Source organism: Homo sapiens, chromosome 6 (assembly GCF_000001405.40).
Source record: "Homo sapiens chromosome 6, GRCh38.p14 Primary Assembly".
Lineage (NCBI taxonomy): Eukaryota > Metazoa > Chordata > Mammalia > Primates > Hominidae > Homo > Homo sapiens.
In genome coordinates, this window is record NC_000006.12 from 86,883,336 (window position 1) to 86,907,586 (window position 24,251).

The window sequence follows — 24,251 nt, forward strand, 5'->3', positions numbered from 1 at the left end:
TACTGAGGATTTTCACATCAATGTTCATCAGGGATATTGAACTGAAATTTTGTTTTTTGCTGTGTCTCTGTCAGGTTTGGGTATCAGGATGATGCTGGCCTCATAAAATGAGGTAGGGAGGAGTCCCTCTTTTTCTATTGTTTGGAATAGTTTCAGGAAGAATGGTACCAGCTCTTCTTTGTACATCTAGTGGAATTCAGCTGTGAATTTGTCTGGTCCTGGGCTTTTTTTGGTTGGTAGGCTTTTAATTATTACATCAATTTCAGAACTTGTTACTGGTCTATTCAGGGATTCAACTTCTTCCTGGTTTAGTCTTGGTAAGGTGTATGTGTCCAGGAATTTATCCATTTGTTCTAGCTTTTCTAGTTTATTTGTGTAGAAATGTTTATAGTATTCTCTGATGCTAGTTTTATTTATATAGGATCAGTGGTGAATCCCCTTTATCATTTTTTATTGTATCTATTTGATTCTTCTCTCTTTTCATCTTTATTAGTCTGGCTAGCAGTCTATCTATTTTGTTAATCTTTTTGAAAAACCAGCTCATGGATTTATTGATTTTTTGAAGGGTTTTTCATGTTTCTCTCCTTCAGTTCTGCTCTGATCTTAGTTATTTCTTGTCTTCTGCTAGCTTTTGAATTTGTTTGCTCTTGCTTCTCTAGTTCTTTTACTTTTGATGCTAGGGTGTCAATTTTAGATCATTCCTGCTTTCCAATGTGGGCATTTAGTGCTATAAATTTCCCTCTTAACACTGCTTTAGCTGTGTCCCAGAGATTCCAATATGTTCTGTCTTTTTTCTCAATGGTTTCAAAGAACTTATTTATTTAATTTTGTTATTTAGCCAGTAGTCATTCAGGAGCAGGTTGTTCAGTTTCCAAGTAGATATGCAGCTTTGAGTGAGTTTCTTAATCCTGAGTTCTAATTTGATTGCACTGTCGTGTGAGAGACTGTTTGTTACGATTTCCATTTTTTGCATTTGCTGAGGAGTGTTTTACTTCCAATTATGTGGTCAATTTTAGAATAAGTGTGATGTGGTGCTGAGAAGAATGAATATTCTATTAATTTTGGGTGGAAAGTTCTGTAGATGTCCATTAGGTCTGCTTGGTCCAGAGCTGAGCTCAAGTCCTCAATATCCTTGTTAATTTTCTGTTTTGTTGATTTGTCTAATATTGACAGTGGGGTGTTAAAGTCTCCCACTATTATTGTGTGGGAGTCTAAGTCTCTTTGTAAGTCTCTAAGAACTTGTTTTATGAATCTGGGTGCTCCTGTATTAGGTGCATATATATTTAGGATAGTTAGCTCTTCTTGTTGAATTGAGCCCTTTACCATTATGTAATGCCATTCTTTATCTTTTTAAATTTTTGTTGGTTTAAAGTTGGTTTGTTTTATCAGAGACTAGGATTGCAAGCCCTGCTCTTTTTTGCTTTTCATTTGCTTGGTAAATATTCCTCTATTCCTTTATTTTGAGACTATGTGTGTCTTTGCATGTGAGGTGGGTCTCCTGAATACAGCACACAGATAGGTCTTGACTCTTTATCCAATTTGCCAGTCTGTGTCTTTTAATTGGGGCATTTAGCCCTTTTTCATTCAAGGTTAATATTGTTATGTGTGAATTTGATCATGTCATCCTGATTCTAGCTGGTTATTTTTCACATTAGTTGATACAGTTTCTTCATAGTGTCATTGGTCTTTATATTTTGGTATGTTTTTGTGGTGGCTGATACCAGTTTTTCCTTTCCATATTTAGTGCTTCCTTCAGGAGCTCTTGCAAGGCAGGCCTGGTGGTGACAAAATCCCTCAGCATTTGCTTGTCTTGGAAGTATTTTATTTCTTCTTCACTAATGAAGCTTAGTTTGGCTGGATATGAAATTCTGGGTTGAAAATTATTTTATTTAAGAATGTCAAATATTGGCCCACACTCTCTTCTGACTTGTAAGGTTTCTGCAGAGAGATCCACTATTAGTCTAGTGGCCTTCCCTTTGTAGGTAACTTGACCCTTCTCTCTGGCTGTCCTTAAGTTTTTCTTTTGTTTCAACCTTGGAGAATATGACAATTATGTGTCTTGGGGTTGTTCTTCTTGAGGAGTATCTCAGTGGTGTTCTCTGTATTTCCTGAATTTGCATTCATTTTGCTTTGGATTGCTTTGGTTATTCAGGCTCTTTTTTGGCTCTAAGTGAATTTTAGAATAGCTTTTTGCTAGTTCTGTGAAAAATAACATTAGTAGTTTTATAGGAATGGCATTGAATCTGTAGATTGCTTTGAGCAGTATGGCCATTTCAATGATATTGAATTTTCCAATCCATGAGCATGGAATATTTTTCCATTTGTTTTTGTCATTCATGATGTCTTTTAGCCATGTTTTGTAGTTCTTCTTACAGAGACCTTTCACCTCCTTGGTTAGACGTCTTCCTAAGTATTTTATTTTTTGTGTGACTATTATAAATGAGATTGCATTCTTGATTTGGCTCTCAGCTTGAATGTTATTGGTGTATAGAAAGGTCACTGATCTTTGTACATTGATTTCATATCCTGAAACTTCATTGAAGCCATTTATCAGTTCCAGGAGCTTTTTGGCAGTCATTAGGGTTTTCTAAATAGAGAATCATGTTGTACACAAAAAGAGATAGCTTGACTTCTTCTTTTCCTATTTGGATGCCTTTTATTTCTTTCTCTTGCCTAATTGCTCTGGCTAGGACTTTTTGGTGGTGGTGTTGTTGTTTGCTTTCATTTTTGTTTCTGTTTTGAGACAGGGTCTCATTTTGTCATCCAGGCTGGAGTGCAGTGGTACGATCATGCCTTACTGCAGCCTCAACCTCAAGTGATCCTCCCACCAAATCTTGAGTACAGGCATATGCCAACATACAGAGCTAATTTTTAAAAAAATTTTGTAGAGATAGGGTCTCCCTATGTTGCCCAGGCTGGTCTTGAATTCCTGGGCTCAAGAAATTTTCCCTTCTGGGCCTCCCAAAGCACTGGAATTACAGACATGAACCACCATGTCCAGTCTATTTCTGTCATACATCTAATTTAGCCATGCAGTTAGCCCATTTAACTTTTGTCTCTTTAAGATAATACTTAAATTTTCACTCAGTGTGTTTCAAGTATATGTCCTTATTTTACATGTGCTATTATCTATAAGTATAATTGATAATTAAAGAATTTCTACATAATTATTCTAGTGCAACTGAGATATATATATCTTCAAATTTCAAAAATATTCAGTTATGTTATTTCACTGGAAAATGTAACATATTCTTTAAAGCTGTGGGCTACTTGGTACACTAAACACTGCTCCAAAGTATAGTGTCAGTTCAAATTCAGAAGTGAGTATTTTTTAAGTTTATATTTATATGCCTCTAAACTGTCTAATGATAATTCAGGTCATGCTTTTTCATTGGTTGGCATTAAAAATCTATTATTTTATCTCTATTGAACTTAATTAAATGCTAGTTTGCTCAAAGTACCATGACCAGTAATAAATTAAATATATTCCTGGCAAGTCTATTCAAAAATAATATATCTCTCATTCCCATTAAATGACACTCATATTATAATTATAATTCCAAAGGTAAAGAGGGACATTTTCTAAATATATTTTGATGATCAATTTTTTTATATTCACATATCACATCTCCAGCACAAATACCTAATTAGAAATTTTCCTTATCTTAATCTTTGATAATCATCACTTTTCTCACGAAGTAAAAATATACAACTACAGTCTTTAGCCACATGATAGTTTATTGTGATTAGAGCCCTTGTCACCAAGTAACCCTGCCTATAGTTAGAATAATTCTTCACTTACAGACTTATTTTCAGGCCACCTAACTAGCTATGTGGACATATAATGACATATATCGACCACATAAGACATTAAATTTTAAGAAAAGAACACAAAAATGCTCAAGAACCATTACACTACAAGGAAAACAGCATTATGTACTAGAAGAAAACACAGACCTAAAGCAAATAAATACTCTCAGGTAATATCATTGTTGTCATAGTAAGCGTGTAGGAGGCACAGAACTTCACAGAGGATGAAAAAAGATACTGAGCTTGTGTGTCTCATGGCTTCCTAGAGAAGTCATCCTATCCAGAGTTTCATAGGCTGTATAGGGAATTGCTACATAGATGAGGGGGCATTGTGAGCCTGTGCTGGGCTCAGGGGCCAGACACATCATGGTGGTCTTGGGAAACCACAAGTAGTCTGGTACTGTTGCTTCCAAAAGTGTGAAAGCCTGGGGGAGGTAAACAGGGGCCAGACCACACATGGCCTCACAGATCATGCTAAGAAGCTTGAATTTAATTATGTGGGAAAGGGGAATTACTAAAAGGTTTTCACAAAGGAGGCCAGTCAGGAGCTCTTTGTTTAGTCCAGGTAAGAAACGACAGAATTTTATCAAATGACACCAGCAAAACAAATGGAAAGATGGAATTCATACAGGTGTAGGGTATAAAATGGACAGATCTTGGTGTCTGGTTAGAAGTTCAACCTGAGGTGTGGCAGGAAAGGGAGAGACAAGCAGAGCAGGAGTCCCAGGTAGAACCTGACTCAGTAAGAACCCAGTCCAACCTCTGCCATGCATTGTGCACCTCAGTGTCCCCACCTCTCAGAGAAGGAGTGAGACAAGATTATCTCTAAGGTCCCTTCCAATACAAACATGTTGTAATCCTACCTTATGAATCTAGCCTTTCTGTAGCACAGAGACAGGACCAGCTCCAGTGTTAGGCAGAAGGCTGGAGGGACAAATATCACTCAAAAAAAAAAAAAAAAAGCTCAGGCTTGCCATTAAAGGCATTGAATGCAAATAGACACAAATTATTAAACATCTTTAAATGTGAACCTATTTGATAAGTGTGAGGTCTTATCATCTAACCATCTCATGTCTGAAAGGAAATAAGATTGTAAGTTCTTTAAGAAAGACATCAATTTCTTGTGGTATTCATTATCTAATACACTGTGCCTGCTTCACCCTAAAAAAAAAAAAAAAAAAATCAAATGTGATTGCTTGATTATAATGTTCCGGGCATTTGGAATATTGTTCTACATTGGAAACGAATTTTATTTATATCATCATCTGAGAGACCATGTAGTAATACATAACATATTCAAATTGCCTGCCATACAGACTGCAAAAGCCTGAGTTTTCTCTCTCCCTCTACAAAAGGCAAACAACAAATCCTCAAGGGTCTTGTAAATGTTACAGGAAGTTTGTAAGCTAAGTAGATTTTTGCAATGCTAACGATTTTTCTTTCTTGCCGAGACTCATTTACTTACTCAAAATAGCAACATTCCTTTTCCTTATATATATTTCATTTTCCTTCTCCAAAGCCAGAGTTTAAGTACACAATTCTGAAAATTGTCAATCAGCCTGATTCTCCCTGTGGCTAAGCTACTCCATAATTATAAGCTAGACATCCTCTTAGGTCACTAGGGTCTCAAGTCTGTGAATATTTATAAAATAGTCTCCCCAGTGAGCAAATAAATGTTAATGCTTCTACCAAACGTGATTAACAAAAAAACTTATTCTCATGAAGAAGTGCATAATTGTAATAAGATCAGAAATTAACTCAAACTCCAATAACAATTAACTTAGAATTGTTTTTAGTGTAGGAAATATTATTGCAAGCTTTAATCTGTAAGTTATAGTGTTTCTAAGACAAAAACCTCAAAAAGCATTAACACGCGGTTCTCGAAGGTTTCTGCCGGAACTCCATTTATGCATACAACTAATTCACTTATCCTACCACATGTATTCATTCAAAACACATGTTGAATTCCTTTTATAAGCAAAGAATCCAGTATACAGAAGTAAATACCACTGGCATGGTCCCTAGCCTCATAGAAATTAAAGTCACCAAGTCGCCTCCTGGCAGAGACAGATAGTCAACAAGAAGTATTACAAATATTGTTTCTCCCCAAGGCTGAGCCCCAGCCTCACTCCCAGCAGCTTCCGCCTGCTGAGTTGAAGGTACCCATGTTGTCTGAGCAGCTATTCAACTTTTTATTACACTGATGGAGGTACTGGGCAAGGTAGTAGAAAGAAAAAGAAAAGCCAGAAAATCTAGAAATGTTAATGATATTTAGAGTAGAAATAACAGAGCTACTTCTGGGAGGAAAAGAGCTGCTACTATAAGACAGGAAACAGCTCTATATACTCTGGGTTTTGACCAATGTTGCTGACCACGATGGAAAAACAAGGACTACTGAATTTATCCCCCTGCCATGAACAACTAGAAAAATGGAAAAAACATGAAACAATGGCTTTGTGTTTTCTCAAGGGCAGGCAGTCAAAATTTTGGGGTTTTTTTGAATAAAATGCCAGATTTCCTCGAATGTGAGCTTTAATGGTTGGCCTTGTTTGTGTTATAGTTGGACAGCTACTAGCCATCAGAGATTTAGAGCCAAAGTGCAATACTCACCTTGCCTCAGACAAAATATTCACTGCATATTTGTGCAAAAGGAACACCTTTACTCTGGCAGAAGGAATATTGCAATTACAGGGTACAGAGATACAAAGTGGCCATTCTTAGACATTTACACAGAGCCAGAGAGAAATAATGAATACTACTCTAAGAATTCTTGATGGGTTCACTAAACTGAAGAAGCTGAAGAAATGAAGCCTTCTAGCAACTCAGCTTCCATGGATATCATATTTCTTAAGAAATTAGGATCTCTGGATGAAGAAGGTGATCAATGGCAGACAAGTTGGGACTACTTCAAGGCCTTTGGTGCATTTCAACATCTGAGATCAGACTGCTGAAGATTCAGCTGCCACCATGAGTCAATTGGGTAAGCACACATAGGAAAAAGAATGCTACTTGAAATTTGGGAAAGGTAGGTAAGTTTCCTAGCAGGCATTGGGACTGAGAAAACAAGAGGCTGAGTCATTTTTAGAGCATGCCACAGAAATGATGCCCATGTGAATGACAAACATAAGAGAGAAATGCTGCTCTCTAAGCAGGAGGGACTGGGCTGTACTAGGTATTATGCATGTCATCAAAATGCTCAGGATCTCTGTATCTGTGGCAGACAACTTCACAGTTCCACAAAGAGTATACAGCAGAGTAGAGAACACCTGGGATTCACAGTCTGATCTCATAAACCTGAGCCTAAGTGACCTAAATCAAAGGTCACGACCTGGTTGTACTTGACAGGTAGAATATTTTATTTGATCTGCACAATGTTTTAGAAATCGGAAAATTTCTCACAGAAATCTATACTGTTGCATTCTCTGAAAAGATTAGAAAAACTAGAACACTAAATAATGGCAGCCAGACTTTTCTAAATGGAGCATGGACCCACCAGTCCCCTCAGTCTCTCTCTTCTCTATGCTGGTTCATCCAATATGGCAGACATTACTTCTCTGCTTCTTCCTTGGAAATAGCTGGCTTTCTTTAAGGCAGCAATGATGCCAGCATCCAGAAAAATACTTACTTTGGAAAACATCCTTTTGCAGCAAATGGTGGCCATGTGACAATGTTCTGGCCAGTAAAACATCAGGAAGTTATAGGAAGGCCTTACTTTTCCTTCTTAAAAGATGTGCCGTGTGTGTGTGTGTGTGTGCGTGTGTGTGTGTGTGTGTGCGCGCAAAGTGGCAGATGGAGGCATTGCAAGCATACTTCTCCCACTTGGAAGGACAAAGTAGCATGTAGAGATTCACACTGTGAACTGTTTTTTTCAAGAAGCAATGCAGGAACTAAACAGGAAAACCAAAGGAATCCACAGATCCTTTGAAGGAAACGATAGGCTACAGCCTATACTGTAATTCAAGTGAAGGATTGTGAGTCCCCAGAGTGTGAAAGGGGGAGAGACTGCCTCCAGACTATACACCCCTATGGGGGAGCCTGAAAGTCCAAGCCATGGGGGAAGACCTTAACCCTATAGAGCACAGAAACTGACTTAAGGAGAGTCCTGGAATATAAAAGTAAGAGAACCAGTGGGAAGAACCTTGAGGGTACTCTCAATCTCCAGCACAGACCAAGGGAAGCCATTCCTAATTGGTCATCATAGGAGACCCTTCAGAAGTCAGCCAAATATTTCAGGTAGTGGTCACAGGTTGAAAGAAGCCCCCACCTGGGTTTCATGATATAACCTCAGGTGGGGACAAACTCCTTTGGCCAGGGATGGGTGGGGGCTGGGGGAAGAGGGGACACAAGTGAAAAGTGGACTGCAGCTGTGAGTGCAGAAGCTGGGCACCAGTCTTTGCAGGTGGATTGGGAAGTATGTGGCCTGAAATCTGTGGTTGCTGTCTTTACAGGGAGAGGTTTTGACCTGGGGCAGTTGCGAGTTCTGTGTGCAGGCTGCCTAGAACGTAGCTCACTGCTGCCAGTGGAACACTGAAGGAGATGATCTGCCTTGCCAAGTGTATGGGATCCGTGTGGGGCTGACTGCCACCTGCTACTCCCCACTCTCTGTGTGAGCTTGTCTGTGCAGGAGAGGCAGCAACACTCCCCTCTAGAACATCAACCCAGTGGCCTGAGAACCACCCCTATCCCCCAAAACCCACAGAGGCTGCTGCTTGCCCTGCACATGGAGACTCAGAAAGCAAACCCACCTGACCCAGCCCCTACCTGGCTTTGCCCTGCCACCCACCCTTGTAGCTTAACACAAAGGACAGAAACTTTTGGGAGCTCTATGGCCTTACCCACTGCCTGAGGAAATAAAGTACCCACCCAGGGCAACGCAGGCAAGCAAAAATCCCACTGCTACTACCCCAGCTGGTGCTCTTTAGCAAGTGCCACCTACTGGCTGGATGACAACCAACAAAGACCATTATAGCATCTCCTAGTAGAATAACACTGTGCCCAGGAAGGAGAAAACAGCTGCATGACCTCAGCTATCACCACTGCCTGTACCACTTGGACTAACCAGGAGGTCCTGAGTCTGTCCACATGACCAGTTCATTACTACTATAACCAGCACTTGAGAAAGCCAACACACTAAGATTATCAATGAGACTTGAGGAGAAGTCACATCAGTGGATCCCTTGCAACACCAACCTGGAGTGTGGCAACTTCACTGGGTGGCTAGATCCAGAGGAGCAACAACACTCACAGTAGTCTGGCTCCCAGGGACTCCCACTCCTATGGAAGGGGGAGTACACCACATCATGAAAACACCCTGTAGGACAAAAGAATCTACAGAGCAGGCCTTCAGCACCAGTTCTTTCTGCTTGTGGGAAGTTTCAGCAGAAGCACAATTGCAGTGCTGTGTTCAGCAGGGAAACTTTGCAGCTCTAATCCAACAGTCAGACAGCCCTAGCACACATGAAGGGACTTGGAGAAGTGGATGTCTTTCCTCCCTGGTGCGCAACCACAAGCACAGTTGGGGCTTCTATCACAGGAGCTTAGTGTGGGTGCAACTATAGACAGCCTTTCTGGAACATATCAGGGTGACCGCATACCTACAGGAGGAGCATCCTCCAGGTTCAGGCTTGCACGAGAAATAGAGTCACAATTGCTCTCTACTTGAAACATCAACATTCCTACAGACAAAAAGAGGTGCCTGTCTGATATGAATAGCCAGAGCACTGGGACAGGAGTGTGCCTGAGAGGTAGATAGCTTTCCTGCTGATCTGGCAGTGGAACTGAGTTGGAGTTGGATCCAACCCTTCCCCCTGATAAGACCAGGTCAGCAAGAAAGCTCTCTGCCTCTCAGGCACAAATGGGTTTAACAGATGTTTACAGAAAATTCTACCTAACACCTGCAGAATATACATGCTCATCAGCATATGGAACATTCTCCAAGATAGACCATATGATAGACCACAAAACAAATCTCAATAAATTTTTAAAAATTGAAGTCATATCAAGTATTTTCTCAGACCACAGCAGAATAAAATTAAAAATCAACTCCAAAAGTAACCCTTAGAACTATACAAATAATCTGCTCCTGAATTATTTTGGGGTTAACAATGAAATCAAGATGGACATTTAAAAATTCTTTGAATTAATAATAATGATGACACAAGTTATCAAAACCTCTGGGATACAGCAAAAAGCAGTGCTAAGATGAAAGTTTATAGTGCTAAATGCCTACCTCAAAAAGTCAAGTCTGAAAGAGCACAAGGTGACAACTCCTAAAAGAGCTCCTGAAGGAAGCACTAAACATGGAAAGGAACAACTGGTACCAGCCACTGCAAAATCATGCCAAAATGTAAAGACCATCGAGACTAGGAAGAAACTGCATCAACTAACGAGCAAAATAACCAGCTAACATCATCATGACAGGATCAAATTCACACATAACAATATTAACTTTAAATGTAAATGGACTAAATGCTCCAATTAAAAGACACAGACTGGCAAATTGGATAAACAGTCAAGACCCATCAGTGTGCTGTATTCAGGAAACCCATCTCACATGCAGAGACACACATAGGCTCAAAATAAAAGGATGGAGGAAGATCTACCAAGCAAATGGAAAACAAATAAGGCAGGGGTTGCAATCCTAGTCTCTGATAAAACAGACTTTAAACCAACAAAGATCAAAAGAGACAAAGAAGGCCATTACATAATGGTAAAGGGATCAATTCAACAACAAGAGCTAACTATCCTAAATATATATGCACCCAATAGAGGAGCAACAAGATTCATAAAGCAAGTCCTGAGTGACCTACAAAGAGACTTAGACTCCCACACATTAATAATGGGAGACTTTAACACCCCACTGTCAACATTAGATAGATCAACGAGACAGAAAGTCAACAAGGACACCCAGGAATTGAACTCAGCTCTGCACCAAGCGGACCTAATAGACATCTACAGAACTCTCCACCCCAAATCAACAGAATATACATTTTTTTCAGCACCACACCACACCTATTCCAAAACTGACCACATACATGGACACTCTTATAGACATGCAAAATGCTCTGGAAAGTCTCAGCAATAGAATTGAACAAGCGGAAGAAAGAAATTCAGAGCTCTAAGACAAGGTCTTTGAATTAACCCAATCCAACACAGACAAAGAAAAAAGAATAAGAAAATATGAACAAAGCTTCCAAGAAGTCTGGGATTATGTTAAACAACCAAACCTAAGAATAATTGGTGTTCCTGAGGAAGAAGAGAAATCTAAAAGTCTGGGAAACATATTTGGGGAAATAATCAAGGAAAACTTCCCCAGCTTTGCTAGAGACCTAGACACTGAAATACAGGAAGCACAAAGAACACCTGGGAAGTTCAACGCAAAAAGATCATCACCTAGGCACATTATTGTCAGGTTATCTAAAGTTAAGACAAAGGAAATCATCTTAAGAGCTTTGAGACAAAAGCACCAGGTAACCTAAAGAAGAAAACCTATCAGATTAACAGCAGATTTCTCAGCAGAAATCCTACAAGCTAGAAGGGATTGGGGCCCTATCTTCAGCCTCCTCAAACAAAAGAATTTTGTATCCAGCAAAACTAAGCTTCATATATGAGGGAAAGATACAGTCTTTTTCAGACAAACAAATGCTGAGAGAATTCACCACTACCAAGCCACCAGTATAAAAACTGCTAAAAGTAGCTCTAAATCTTGAAACAAATACTGAAAACACATCAAAACAGAACCTCTTTAAAGTATAAATCGTACAGGACCTATAAAACAAAAATACAAGTTAAAAAACAAAAACAAAAAATCAAGGTACACAGGCAACAAATAGCACAATGAATGGAATGTTACCTCACATCTCAATACTAACATTGAATGTGAATGGCCTAAATGATCCACTTAAAAGATACAGAATTGGAGAATGGAAAAGAATTCACCCACCAACTATCTGCTGCCTACAAGTGACTCACCTAACACATAAGGACTCACAGAAACTTAAGGTAAAGGGATGGAAAAAGACATTTTATGCAAATGGATACCAAAAGTAAGCAGGAGTGGCTCTTATATCAGACAAAATAAAATTTAAAGCAACAGCAGTTAAAAAGGCAAAGAGGGACACTATATAATAATAAAAGGCCTTGTACAACAGGAAAATACCACAATCCTAAACATATATGCACCTAACACTAGAGGTCCCAAATTTATAAAACAATTACTAATAGATCTAAGAAATCAGACAGCAACACAATAATAATGGCGGATTTCAACACTCCACTGACAGCACTGAACAGGTCATCAGGACAGAAAGTCAACAAAAAAAAACAATGGATTTAAACTATGTCTGGGAACAAATGGACTTAACAGATATATACAGAACATTCCATCCAACAACTGCAGAACACACATTCTATTCAACAGCATGTGGAACTTTCTCCAAGACAGACCATATGATAGGCCACAAAACAAGCCTCAATAAATTTAAGAAAATTGAAATTATGGCAAGCACTCTCTCAGACCACAGTGGAATAAAACTGGAAATCAACTCCAAAAGGAGTCTTCAAAACCATGCAAATATGTGGAAATTAAATAACCTGCTCCTGAATGATCACTGGGTCAAAAACCAAATCAAGATGGAAATTTAAAAAATTCTTCAAACTGAATGACAATAGTGACACAACCTATCAAAACCTCTGGGACACAGCAAAGGTGGTACTAAGAGGAAAGTTCATATCCCTAAATGCCTACATCAAAAAGTCTGAAAGAGTGCAAACAATCTAAGGTCACACCTCAAGGAACTAGAGAAATAAGAACAAACCAAACCCAAACCCAGCAGAAGAAAGGAAATAACCAAGACCAGAGCAGATCCAAATGAAATTGAAACAAAAAAAAATACCAAAAGATAAATGAAACAAAAAGCTGGTTCTTTGACAAGATAAATAAAATTGATAAAATTATGAAGATTAACCAAGAAAAGAAAAGACAAAATCCAAATAAGCTCAATAAGAAACAAAGTGGGAGATATTACAACTGACACCACAGAAACACAAAAGATCATTCACGGCTACTAAACATCTTTATGCATAAAAACTAGAAAATCTAGAAGAGACGGATAAATTCCTGAAAAAAAATACAACTCTCCTAGCTTAAATCAGGAAGAATTAGATACCCTGAACAGACCAATAACAAGCAGAGAGATTGAAATGGTAATTTAAAAATTACGAACATAAAAAGTCCAGGACCAGATGGATTCACAGCAGAATTCTACCAGATGTTCAAAGAATTGGTACCAATCCTTTTGACACTATTCCACAAGATAGAGAAAGAGTGATCCCTCCCTAATTCATTCTATGAAGCCAGCATCACCCTAATACCAAAACCAGGAAAGGACATAACCAAAAAAGAAAACTACAGACCAAAATCCCTGATAAACATAGATGCTAAAATCCTTAACAAAATACTAGCTAACCGAATCCAACAACATATCAAAAAGATAATCCGCCATGATCAAGTGGGTTTCGTACTAGGGATGCAGGGATGGTTTAACATATGCAAGTCAATAAACGTGATACGCCACGTAAACAGAACTTTTTAAAAATCACATGATCATCTCAATAAATACAGAAAAAGCATTCAACAAAATCCAGCATCCCTTATGATTAAAACTCTCAGCAAAATCGGCATACAAGAAACACCTCAACATAATAAAAGCCATCTATGACAAACCCACAGCCAACATTATACTGAATGGGGAAAAGTTGAAAGCATTTCCTCTGATACCTGGAACAAGATAAGGATGCCTACTCTCACCACTCCTCTTCAACCTAGTACTAGAAGCCCTAGCCAGAGCAATCAGACAACAGAAAGAAACAAAGGGCATCCAGAGCTGCCCCCTTCTGCGCGGTCACGCTGAGCCAGCACCTGGGCCTGGAACCAGGCCACAGCCCCCCAGCTTTGCCCACCACCTCCCTACCATGGACGCCCGCAAAGTGAACGAGCTTCGGGCCTTTGTGAAAATGTGTAAGCAGGATCCGAGCATTCTGCACACCGAGGAAATGCACTTCCTGAGGGAGTGGGTGGAGAGCATGGGAGGTAAAGTACCACCTGCTACTCAGAAAGCTAAATCAGAAGAAAATACCAAGGAAGAAAAACCTGACAGTAAGAAGGTGGAGGAAGACTTAAAGGCAGACGAACCATCAAGTGAGGAAAGTGATCTAGAAATTGATAAAGAAGGTGTGATTGAACCAGACACTGATGCTCCTCAAGAAATGGGAGATGGGCGCAAGGCTCCGGACTCCACGGTGCAGACTGCACCTCGCAGTCTCCCCAGGTCCGCGCAGCAGCCACGCTTCAGCCAGAATACTGGGATCTTCAGTGGCAGGAGGAGTAATCAGAAGATGGAGATGAATTTTAACATTATTTTGGAAGAGATTCTTATTAAAAGGTCACAGCAGAAAAAGAAGACATCACCCTTAAACTACAAAGAGAGACTTTTTGTACTTACAAAGCCCATGCTAACCTACTATGAGGGTCGAGCAGAGCAATTTTTAGTGATATCAAAAAGTCTAGTTTTGAAGATGGCCGAATAGGAACAGCTCTGGTCTACAGCTCCCAGCGTGAGCGACGCAGAAGAAGGGTGATTTCTGCATTTCCATCTGAGGTACCGGGTTCATCTCACTAGGGAGTGCCAGACAGTGGGCGCAGGTCAGTGGGTGTGGGCACTGTGCGTGAGCCAAAGCAGGGCAAGGCATTGCCTCACTTGGGAAGTGCAAGGGGTCAGGGAGTTCCCTTTCCGAGTGAAAGAAAGGGGTGACTGACGCACCTGGAAAATCGGGTCACTCCCACCCGAATACTGCGCTTTTCAGACCGGCTTAAAAAACGGCGCATCACGAGATTATATCCCGCACCTGGCTCGGAGTGTCCTACGCCCACGGAGTCTGGCTGATTGCTAGCACAGCAGTCTGAGATCAAACTGCAAGGTGGCAGTGAGGCTGGGGGAGGGGCGCCCACAATAGCCCAGGCTTGCTTAGGTAAACAAAGCAGCTGGGAAGCTCTAACTGGGTGGAGCCCACCACAGCTCAAGGAGGCCTGCCTGCCTCTGTAGGCTCCACCTCTGGAGGCAGGGCGCAGACAAACAAAAAGAAAGCAGTAACCTCTGCAGACTTAAATGTCCCTGTCTGACAGCTTTGAAGAGAGCAGTGGTTCTCCCAGCACGCAGCTGGAGATCTGAGAACGGGCAGACTGCCTCCTCAAGTGGGTCTCTGACCCCTGACCCCCTAGCAGCCTAACTGGGAGGCACCCCCCAGCAGGGGCACACTGACCCCTCACACGGCAGGGTATTCCAACAGACCTGCAGCTGACGGTCCTGTCTGTTAGAAGGAAAACTAACTAACGGAAAGGACATCCACACCAAAAACCCATCTGTACATCACCATCATCAAAGACCAAAAGTAGATAAAACCACAAAGATGGGGAAAAAACAGAACAGAAAAACTGGAAACTCTAAAAAGCAGAGTGCCTCTCCTCCTCTAAAAGAACGCAGTTCCTCACCAGCAACACAACAAAGCTGGATGGAGAATGACTTTGACGAGCTGAGAGGAGAAGGCTTCAGACGATCAAATTACTCTGAGCTATGGGAGGACATTCAGACCAAAGGCAAAGAAGTTGAAAACTTTGAAAAAAATTTAGAAGAATGTATAACTAGAATAACCAATACAGAGAAGTGCTTAAAGGAGCTGATGGAGCTGAAAACCAAGGCTCGAAAACTACATGAAGAATGCAGAAGCCTCAGGAGCTGATGCGATCAACTGGAGGAAACTGTATCAGCAACGGAAGATGAAATGAATGAAATGAAGCAAGAAGGGAAGTTTAGAGAAAAAAGGATAAAAAGAAATGAGCAAAGCCTCCAAGAAATATGGGACTATGTGAAAAGACCAAATCTACGTCTGATTGGTGTACCTGAAAGTGATGGGGAGAATGGAACCAAGATGGAAAACACTCTGCAGGATATTATCCAGGAGAACTTCCCCAATCTAGCAAGGCAGGCCAACGTTCAGATTCAGGAAATACAGAGAACGTCACAAAGATACTCCTCAAGAAGAGCAACTCCAAGACACATAACTGTCAGATTCACCAAAGTTGAAATGAAGGAAAAAATGTTAAGGGCAGCCAGAGAGAAAGGTCAGGTTACCCTCAAAGGGAAGCCCATCAGACTAACAGCGGATCTCTTGGCAGAAACCCTACAAGCCAGAAGAGAGTGGGGGCCAATATTCAACATTCTTAAAGAAAAGAATTTTCAACCCAGAATTTCATATCCAGCCAAACTAAGCTTCATAAGTGAAGGAGAAATAAAATACTCTACAGACAAGCAAATGCTGAGAGATTTTGTCACCACCAGGCCTGCCCTAAAAGAGCTCCTGAAGGAAGTGCTAAACATGGAAAGGAACAACCAGTACCAGCCGCTGCAAAATCATGCCAAAATGTAAAGACCATCGAGACTAGGAAGAAACTGCATCAACTAACGAGCAAAATAACCGGCTAACATCATCGTGACAGGATCAGATTCACACATAACAGTATTAACTTTAAATGTAAATGGACTAAATGCTCCAATTAAAAGACACAGACTGGCAAATTGGATAAACAGTCAAGACCCATCAGTGTGCTGTATTCAGGAAACCCATCTCACATACAGAGACACACATAGGCTCAAAATGAAAGGATGGAGGAAGATCTACCAAGCAAATGGAAAACAAAAAAAGGCAGGGGTCGCAATCCTAGTCTCTGATAAAACAGACTTTAAACCAACAAAGATCAAAAGAGACAAAGAAGGCCATTACATAATGGTAAAGGGATCAATTCAACAACAAGCGCTAACTATCCTAAATATATATGTACCCAATACAGGAGCACCCAGATTCATAAAGCAAGTCCTGAGTGACCTACAAAGAGACTTAGACTCCCACACATTAATAATGGGAGACTTTAACACCCCACTGTCAACATTAGACAGATCAACGAGACAGAAAGTCAACAAGGATACCCAGGAATTGAACTCAGCTCTGCACCAAGTGGACCTAATAGACATCTACAGAACTCTCCACCCCAAATCAACAGAATATACATTTTTTTCAGCACCACACCACACCTATTCCAAAATTGACCACATACTTGGAATTAAAGCTCTCCTCAGCAAATGTAAAAGAACAGAGATTATAACAAACTATCTCTCAGACCACAGTGCAATCAAACTAGAACTCAGGATTAAGAAACTCACTCAAAACCGCTCAACTACATGGAAACTGAACAACCTGCTCCTGAATGACTACTGAGTACATAACGAAATGAAGGCAGAAATAAAGATGTTCTTTGAAACCAACGAGAACAAAGACACAACATACCAGAATCTCTGGGATGCATTCAAAGCAGTGTGTAGAGGGAAATTTATAGCACTAAATGCCCACAAGAGAAAGCAGGAAAGATCCAAAATTTACACCCTAACATCACAATTAAGAGAACTAGAAAAGCAAGAGCAAACACATTCAAAAGCTAGCAGAAGGCAAGAAATAACTAAAATCAGAGCAGAACTGAAGGAAATAGAGACACAAAAAAACCTTCAAAAAATTAATGAATCCAGGAGCTGGTTTTTTGAAAGGATCAACAAAATTGATAGACCGCTAGCAAGACTAATAAAGAAAAAAAGAGAGAAGAATCAAATAGACACAGTAAAAAATGATAAAGGGGATATCACCACCGATCCCACAGAAATACAAACTACCATCAGAGAATACTACAAACACCTCTACGCAAATAAACTAGAAAATCTAGCAGAAATGGATAAATTCCTCGACACGTATGTGTCTCTCCCAAGACTAAACCAGGAAGAAGTTGAATCTTTGAATAGACCAATAACAGGATCTGAAATTGTGGCAATAATCAATAGTTTACCAACCAAAAAGGGTCCAGGACCAGATGGATTCACAGCCGAATTCTGCCAGAGGTACAAGGAGGAACTGGTACCATTCCTTCTGAAACTATTCCAATCAATAGAAAAAGAAGGAATCCTCCCTAACTCATTTTATGAGGCCAGCATCATTCTGATAACAAAGCCGGGCAGAGAAACAACCAAAAAAGAGAATTTTAGACCAATATCCTTGATGAACATTGATGCAAAAATCCTCAATAAAATACTGGCAAACCGAATCCAGCAGCACATCAAAAAGCTTATCCACCATGATCAAGTGGGCTTCATCCCTGGGATGCAAGGCTGGTTCAATAAACGCAAATCAATAAATGTAATCCAGCATATAAACAGAGCCAAAGACAAAAAACACATGATTATCTCAATAGATGCAGAAAAAGCCTTTGACAAAATTCAACAATGCTTCATGCTAAAAACTCTCAATAAATTAGGTATTGATGGGACCTATTTCAAAGTAATAAGAGCTATCTATGACAACCCCACAGCCAATATCATACTGAATGGGCAAAAACTGGAAGCATTCCCTTTGAAAACTGGCACAAGACAGGGGTGTCCTCTCTCACCACTCCTATTCAACATAGTGTTGGAAGTTCTGGCCAGGGCAATTAGGCAGGAGAAGGAAATAAAGGGTATTCAATTAGGAAAAGAGGAAGTCAAATTGTCCCTGTTTGCAGATGACATGATTGTATATCTAGAAAACCCCATCGTCTCAGCCCAAAATCTCCTTAAGCTGATAAGCAACTTCAGCAAAGTCTCAGGATACAAAATCAAGTACAAAAATCACAAGCATTCTTATACACCAACAACAGACAAACAGAGAGCCAAATCATGAGTGAACTCCCATTCACAATTGCTTCAAAGAGAATAAAATACCTAGGAATCCAACTTACAAGGGATGTGAAGGACCCCTTCAAGGAGAACTACAAACCACTGCTCAAGGAAATAAAAGAGGATACAAACAAATGGAAGAACATTCCATGCTCATGGGTAGGAAGAATCAATATCATGAAAATGGCCATACTGCCCAAGGTAATTTACAGATTCAATGCCATCCCCATCAAGCTACCAAGGCCTTTCTTCACAGAATTGGAAAAAACTACTTAAAAGTTCATATGGAACCGAAAAAGAGCCCGCATCGCCAAGTCAATCCTAAGCCAAAAGAACAAAGCTGGAGGCATCACACTACCTGACTTCAAACTATACTACAAGGCTACAGTAACCAAAACAGCATGGTACTGGTACCAAAACAGAGATATAGATCAATGGAACAGAACAGAGCCCTCAGAAATAATGCCGCATATCTACAATTATCTGATCTTTGACAAACCTGACAAAAACAAGAAATGGGGAAAGGATTCCCTATTTAATAAATGGTGCTGGGAAAACTGGCTAGCCATATGTAGAAAGCTGAAACTGGATCCCTTCCTTACACCTTATACAAAAATCAATTCAAGATGGATTAAAGACTTAAACGTTAGACCTAAAACCATAAAAACCCTAGAAGAAAACCTAGGCATTACCATTCAGGACATAGGCATGGGCAAGGACTTCATGTCTAAAACTCCAAAAGCAATGGCAACAAAAGACAAAATTGACAAATGGGATCTAATTAAACTAAAGAGCTTCTGCACAGCAAAAGAAACCACCATCAGAGTGAACAGGCAACCTACAAAATGGGAGAAAATTTTCGCAACCTACTCATCTGACAAAGGGCTAATATCCAGAATCTACAATGAACTCAAACAGATTTACAAGAAAAAAACAAACAACCCCATCAAAAAGTGGGCGAAGGATATGAACAGACACTTCTCAAAAGAAGACATTTATGCAGCTAAAAGACACATGAAAAAATGCTCATCATCACTGGCCATCAGAGAAATGCAAATCAAAACCACAATGAGATACCATCTCACACCAGTTAGAATGGCAATCATTAAAAAGTCAGGAAACAACAGGTGCTGGAGAGGATGTGGAGAAATAGAAACACTTTTACACTGTTGGTGTGACTGTAAACTAGTTCAACCATTGTGGAAGTCAGTGTGGTGATTCCTCAGGGATCTAGAACTAGAAATACCATTTGACCCAGCCATCCCATTACTGGGTATATACCCAAAGGACTATAAATCATGCTGCTATAAAGACACATGAACTCGTATGTTTATTGCGGCATTATTCACAATAGCAAAGACTTGGAACCAACCCAAATGCCCAACAATGATAGACTGGGTTAAGAAAATGTGGCACATATACAGCATGGAATACTATGCAGCCATAAAAAATGATGAGTTCATGTCCTTTGTAGGGACATGGATGAAATTGGAAAGCATCATTCTCAGTAAACTATCGCAAGAACAAAAAACCAAACACCGCATATTCTCACTCATAGGTGGGAATTGAACAATGAGATCACATGGACACAGGAAGGGGAATATCACACTCTGGGGACTGTTGTGGGGTGGGGGGAGGGGGGAGGGATAGCATTGGGAGATATACCTAATGCTAGATGACGAGTTAGTGGGTGCAGCGCACCAGCATGGCACATGTATACATATGTAACTAACCTGCACAATGTCACATGTACCCTAAAACTTAAAGTATAATAAAAAAAAAAAAACAGAACTTTACCATTGTTATGATAGCGTAGGAATCACAATGAAGTATTCTTATGTGAGAAATTTGTTTATGACAATCTGTATTACACATTATATCATGTATCACTATTTTATTTAATTAAAATTTATTTTAAAAAAAGATAGTAATATCTAGGACCATATAGAAAACCAACAGATTTCTTTATATGGTCCTTAGCACATGAAGCTAGTAAAAATGAAATTATTTGTAATGGGTATATGTAGTCACTCATTTATTCTTATTAGCTATATAATAGTACATATATACATACATACATACTATTCTCTAATAACAATGTAGAAGACAGTCTGTATATATAATGTATATAGCATAATGTATATTGTATGATATAGAAATATATTTGAGTGTATTAGAATGATTGTAAGTACACCAAATATCTCACTAAATGAGAATAATTGAGTCAGCCTGCTTTATTATAGATTTGAATAATATATCTTAAAGAAATTTCAAATGAATTAATTAGAACTACCTGAATTATGACAAAGATCATATTGTAAGACCCAGAAGTTGCACAAATCATTGCTGCTCTCATCCTGTTGTCCAGAATATAGTTGCTCTGCCACAGCTATCTGCAAGAGAGTCTGTGAAATATGTGAAATGTTATATCTAACTGAGCAGCCATGTGCCCAACTAAGACTCAAGAGGTCTGTTATTAAAATATTATTAAAAGTAAGAGAGGGGGACCAGGTAGAGTGGACCCTCCATCTCTGACATATCTAGTCAATATATTAGACAGATGTCAAATGAATAAGGCAAATAACATTTACTGCAGAAAATTAGATACTGAGCATATACAGCATCTGTCATATAAATTCATAAATGATTATTAATTGAAAGTTTTTTTGTCCTTAATCTACTGTTATTTCAAGAAAGTTAGAGATTTTGTCCTGTAACACTGTTTATCTATATCTGGAAAATACCCAAATTTGGTTGCTAAGTTACCAGTTGATTTTACAGTTGAAACCTAATTGAATTAAGTAATCTTTAATAATAGAAGAGAAACTGCATAAGTAAATTTAAAGGACCCTAAGTTAATTCCAATTAATGATTGTGCATAGTTCTAAACAAACCAGTTAATTATACAGTACATAAGAACTAAAAATTAATAAAAGAATAAATATAAATCAGCATTTTTCCTGAATACATTTTATTTCCTTTTTCTGCTCATTCTCATAAACGTAGTCATCTTTTTTGACACACCTCATATTAAGATCTATGTGTAACAAGTATGGATTCATCAGCATTTTCATGTTGAATAACAACTAAAAAAGAAAACATAATAGAATTAGAAGATCAGATATGTAGACTCCCAGTGATCAGAAAGCAGAGAAATGTCCTTCCTAGCCTTATGTTCTCCAGTTACTCAACAAACATCTGGCCGGGCATGGTGGCTCACACCTGTAGTCCCAGCACTTTGGGAGGCTGAGGCGGGCAGATCACTTGAGGTCAGGATTCTGAGACCCATAGGAGGCTGGGACTACAGATGTGCACCACCACACCTGGCCAATTTTTGTATTTTTGTATAGATGAGTTTTTACTACAGCTCACCAGCACTCTCAGGCACAGTGCCATCCTCATATACTTCTGGAGAGGAGAAGGGGTCACTGTTCCCACATTTAATTCCTTCAGCTTTTTCCTACACCCATTTTTTTCCTCCACATTCCTAGGAGATACAATCATTTCACCATGAAAGAGTTTCCTTATTACTGTGTCTAAGATGGATGCAAATCAGTGGTTTTTAAAATTAAAATATAATTTGAAATGATTTGAATATACAATATATTGATATTTGCCATTTTTGCAGTGATATGATCGTGGAAAAGACATTTATTAAACAAGCTCAAAAAGTAAGTTGTAATCTCAGAAACAAGATAATAATAGGTGTTCAGTGTCTGTCAAGGAATTAGCATTAAATCAATCACATATATGACTAAATGCCTATAATTAAGGGACAGGGCTGATGCAAGATATTGCCTGCCCCATTTTCTTTCTGCATTGCGTGATTGAGCTTCTCAAGCCAGCCTTTTCTTTATTAATGTTTACTAATAGAATTCCAGCACTTTGCCTTGAAACTATAGGTCATTTGAATTCCTAATAAAAATAATTCAAATGATAATAAGAAAATAACATTTCCTCTCCACTACAGTTGCAGAAAAGCAGATTTAGTTTTGTGACATAAAATTTAACATAGAAACATAATTACTAACAAATAAATCTTGTAAAACACTTAGGCTTCAAAGATAATTGCTATGCCCTGTAAAAGTAACTTCTAGCAACTAAACAATCTATCGTAATTGATTGCCTTAAAAAGTTGTTTTCCTAGTTAATATTTGTACAAACTCTTCCCTATTTGCCCAGGACCTTTCTAGTTTTAGCACTGAAAGTCCCACAACCCAGGAAAACCCTTACTCCTAGATAAGCTCAAAGGGTTGGTTACCCTGACACCATTATGTTCTAGAAGGTACAAATGCATGTAAATTTTCTTTGTAAAGTCAGAACAGAATTATTGCTACTTAGCTCTTTTCCCTTAAGCAGGAAGGTAGTAAAACCTACAACTGCAATATTCCTTGCTTAAACAAAGAGATTAAGGATCTGTGCCTCACTTAAATTAACAATGCAAACAACTGTAAACTACAAATTTTCATAATAATTTTAAATAAGTCAAAGTGCCCTGAGTCCCATAAAATAGACATACATTTTTGGTTTGTTAAGTACTCAAAATAAAAAGAAACATGTTAAATAGTTCTAACATGTAATAAAATAGATTTATAATTAATTTCAAACTGACAACAATAATTTTGGTGTTCTCTTAAAACTTAGAGAGGCTTTGAGTAGAATGGTTTAATGAGCTCAGCACTATTTAAAAACTGCCCTGACTAGAATGAATCTTGCAGTGCTGGATTAGAATTAGTGATATCAGTATGAACTCATTTTTAGCTTAATATAAAAACAGATGGATAGACATAATAACAATTATAAATATGTGTACATACATCTATATAGATACGAGGGTTAGTGCCTATGTGTGTTACCTAGCTCTGTCCTCAGAGAAGGCCTAGAAGCAAAGACAACCTAGTAGCAATTAGCACACCCAATGACTGATCTTGGACATAGGAGCCAACATGAAAGAGTTTCCAATGGCCACAGCTGAAAAAAGTTAAACAACAAAATAAGTAACATAACATAGAATTACAACTCAAAATATAATATATGTATAAGATTCCACTAAATTTGTAATAAAGAAAAAAATAAGGGCAATAAAAACAAGAAATGAAAGGTTATAAGAGACAAGAAAGTGGATATTGGCAAAAAATATATTTCAGAATACATTTGGAAGAAGGAAAGGAGTTGGAAGGTTCTGGAAACTGATTAATCAAAATGGAGAAAAACATGAACAAAACTGCTTACAGAGGGACAATTTTCCTCATCAAATCTTGTGAATGCTCAGCCAGATTCAAAGTAAGGTAGAGTTGAGGCACAGGGCTGGAGCAGGGGCTTTGGTTAAAAGTTCATATGTGAAACATTCGTGTTCCCCCTTACCTTCTACACGCTAGGTATAAAATCCTGGGAGCCAGGTGTCCATTCTCAAGAGGGCACCTTCTCAAGGAAAATTGAGAGGCTCAAGAGAAAAGATGCTCTCTGATACCATAGATTAAATCTTCGGAGGTAGTCAATATATGGCATCTATGAAACAAGGATGGAATGTTGATTCTTTCAGCTAAAAGGGGTATCAGAAGCAAAAAAACAATTGGAAGAGGCAAATTATCAGAGAAATAATACTAGAGAAATTCTCAGAGATAGAAAAGTCAC

At 38.9% G+C, this 24,251-nt stretch overlaps 2 annotated features.

Annotated features, from left to right (window-relative positions):
• Nucleotides 14,289-14,789: an enhancer, noted in NCBI's record as "NANOG-H3K4me1 hESC enhancer chr6:87607342-87607842 (GRCh37/hg19 assembly coordinates)". NCBI's record gives its function as "activates a minimal SCP1, AML or CMV promoter by ChIP-STARR-seq in primed H9 embryonic stem cells {active_cell/tissue: H9 hESC(primed)}" and the evidence as "EXISTENCE:reporter gene assay evidence [ECO:0000049][PMID:30033119]".
• Nucleotides 14,790-15,290: an enhancer, noted in NCBI's record as "NANOG-H3K4me1 hESC enhancer chr6:87607843-87608343 (GRCh37/hg19 assembly coordinates)". NCBI's record gives its function as "activates a minimal SCP1, AML or CMV promoter by ChIP-STARR-seq in naive H9 embryonic stem cells {active_cell/tissue: H9 hESC(naive)}" and the evidence as "EXISTENCE:reporter gene assay evidence [ECO:0000049][PMID:30033119]".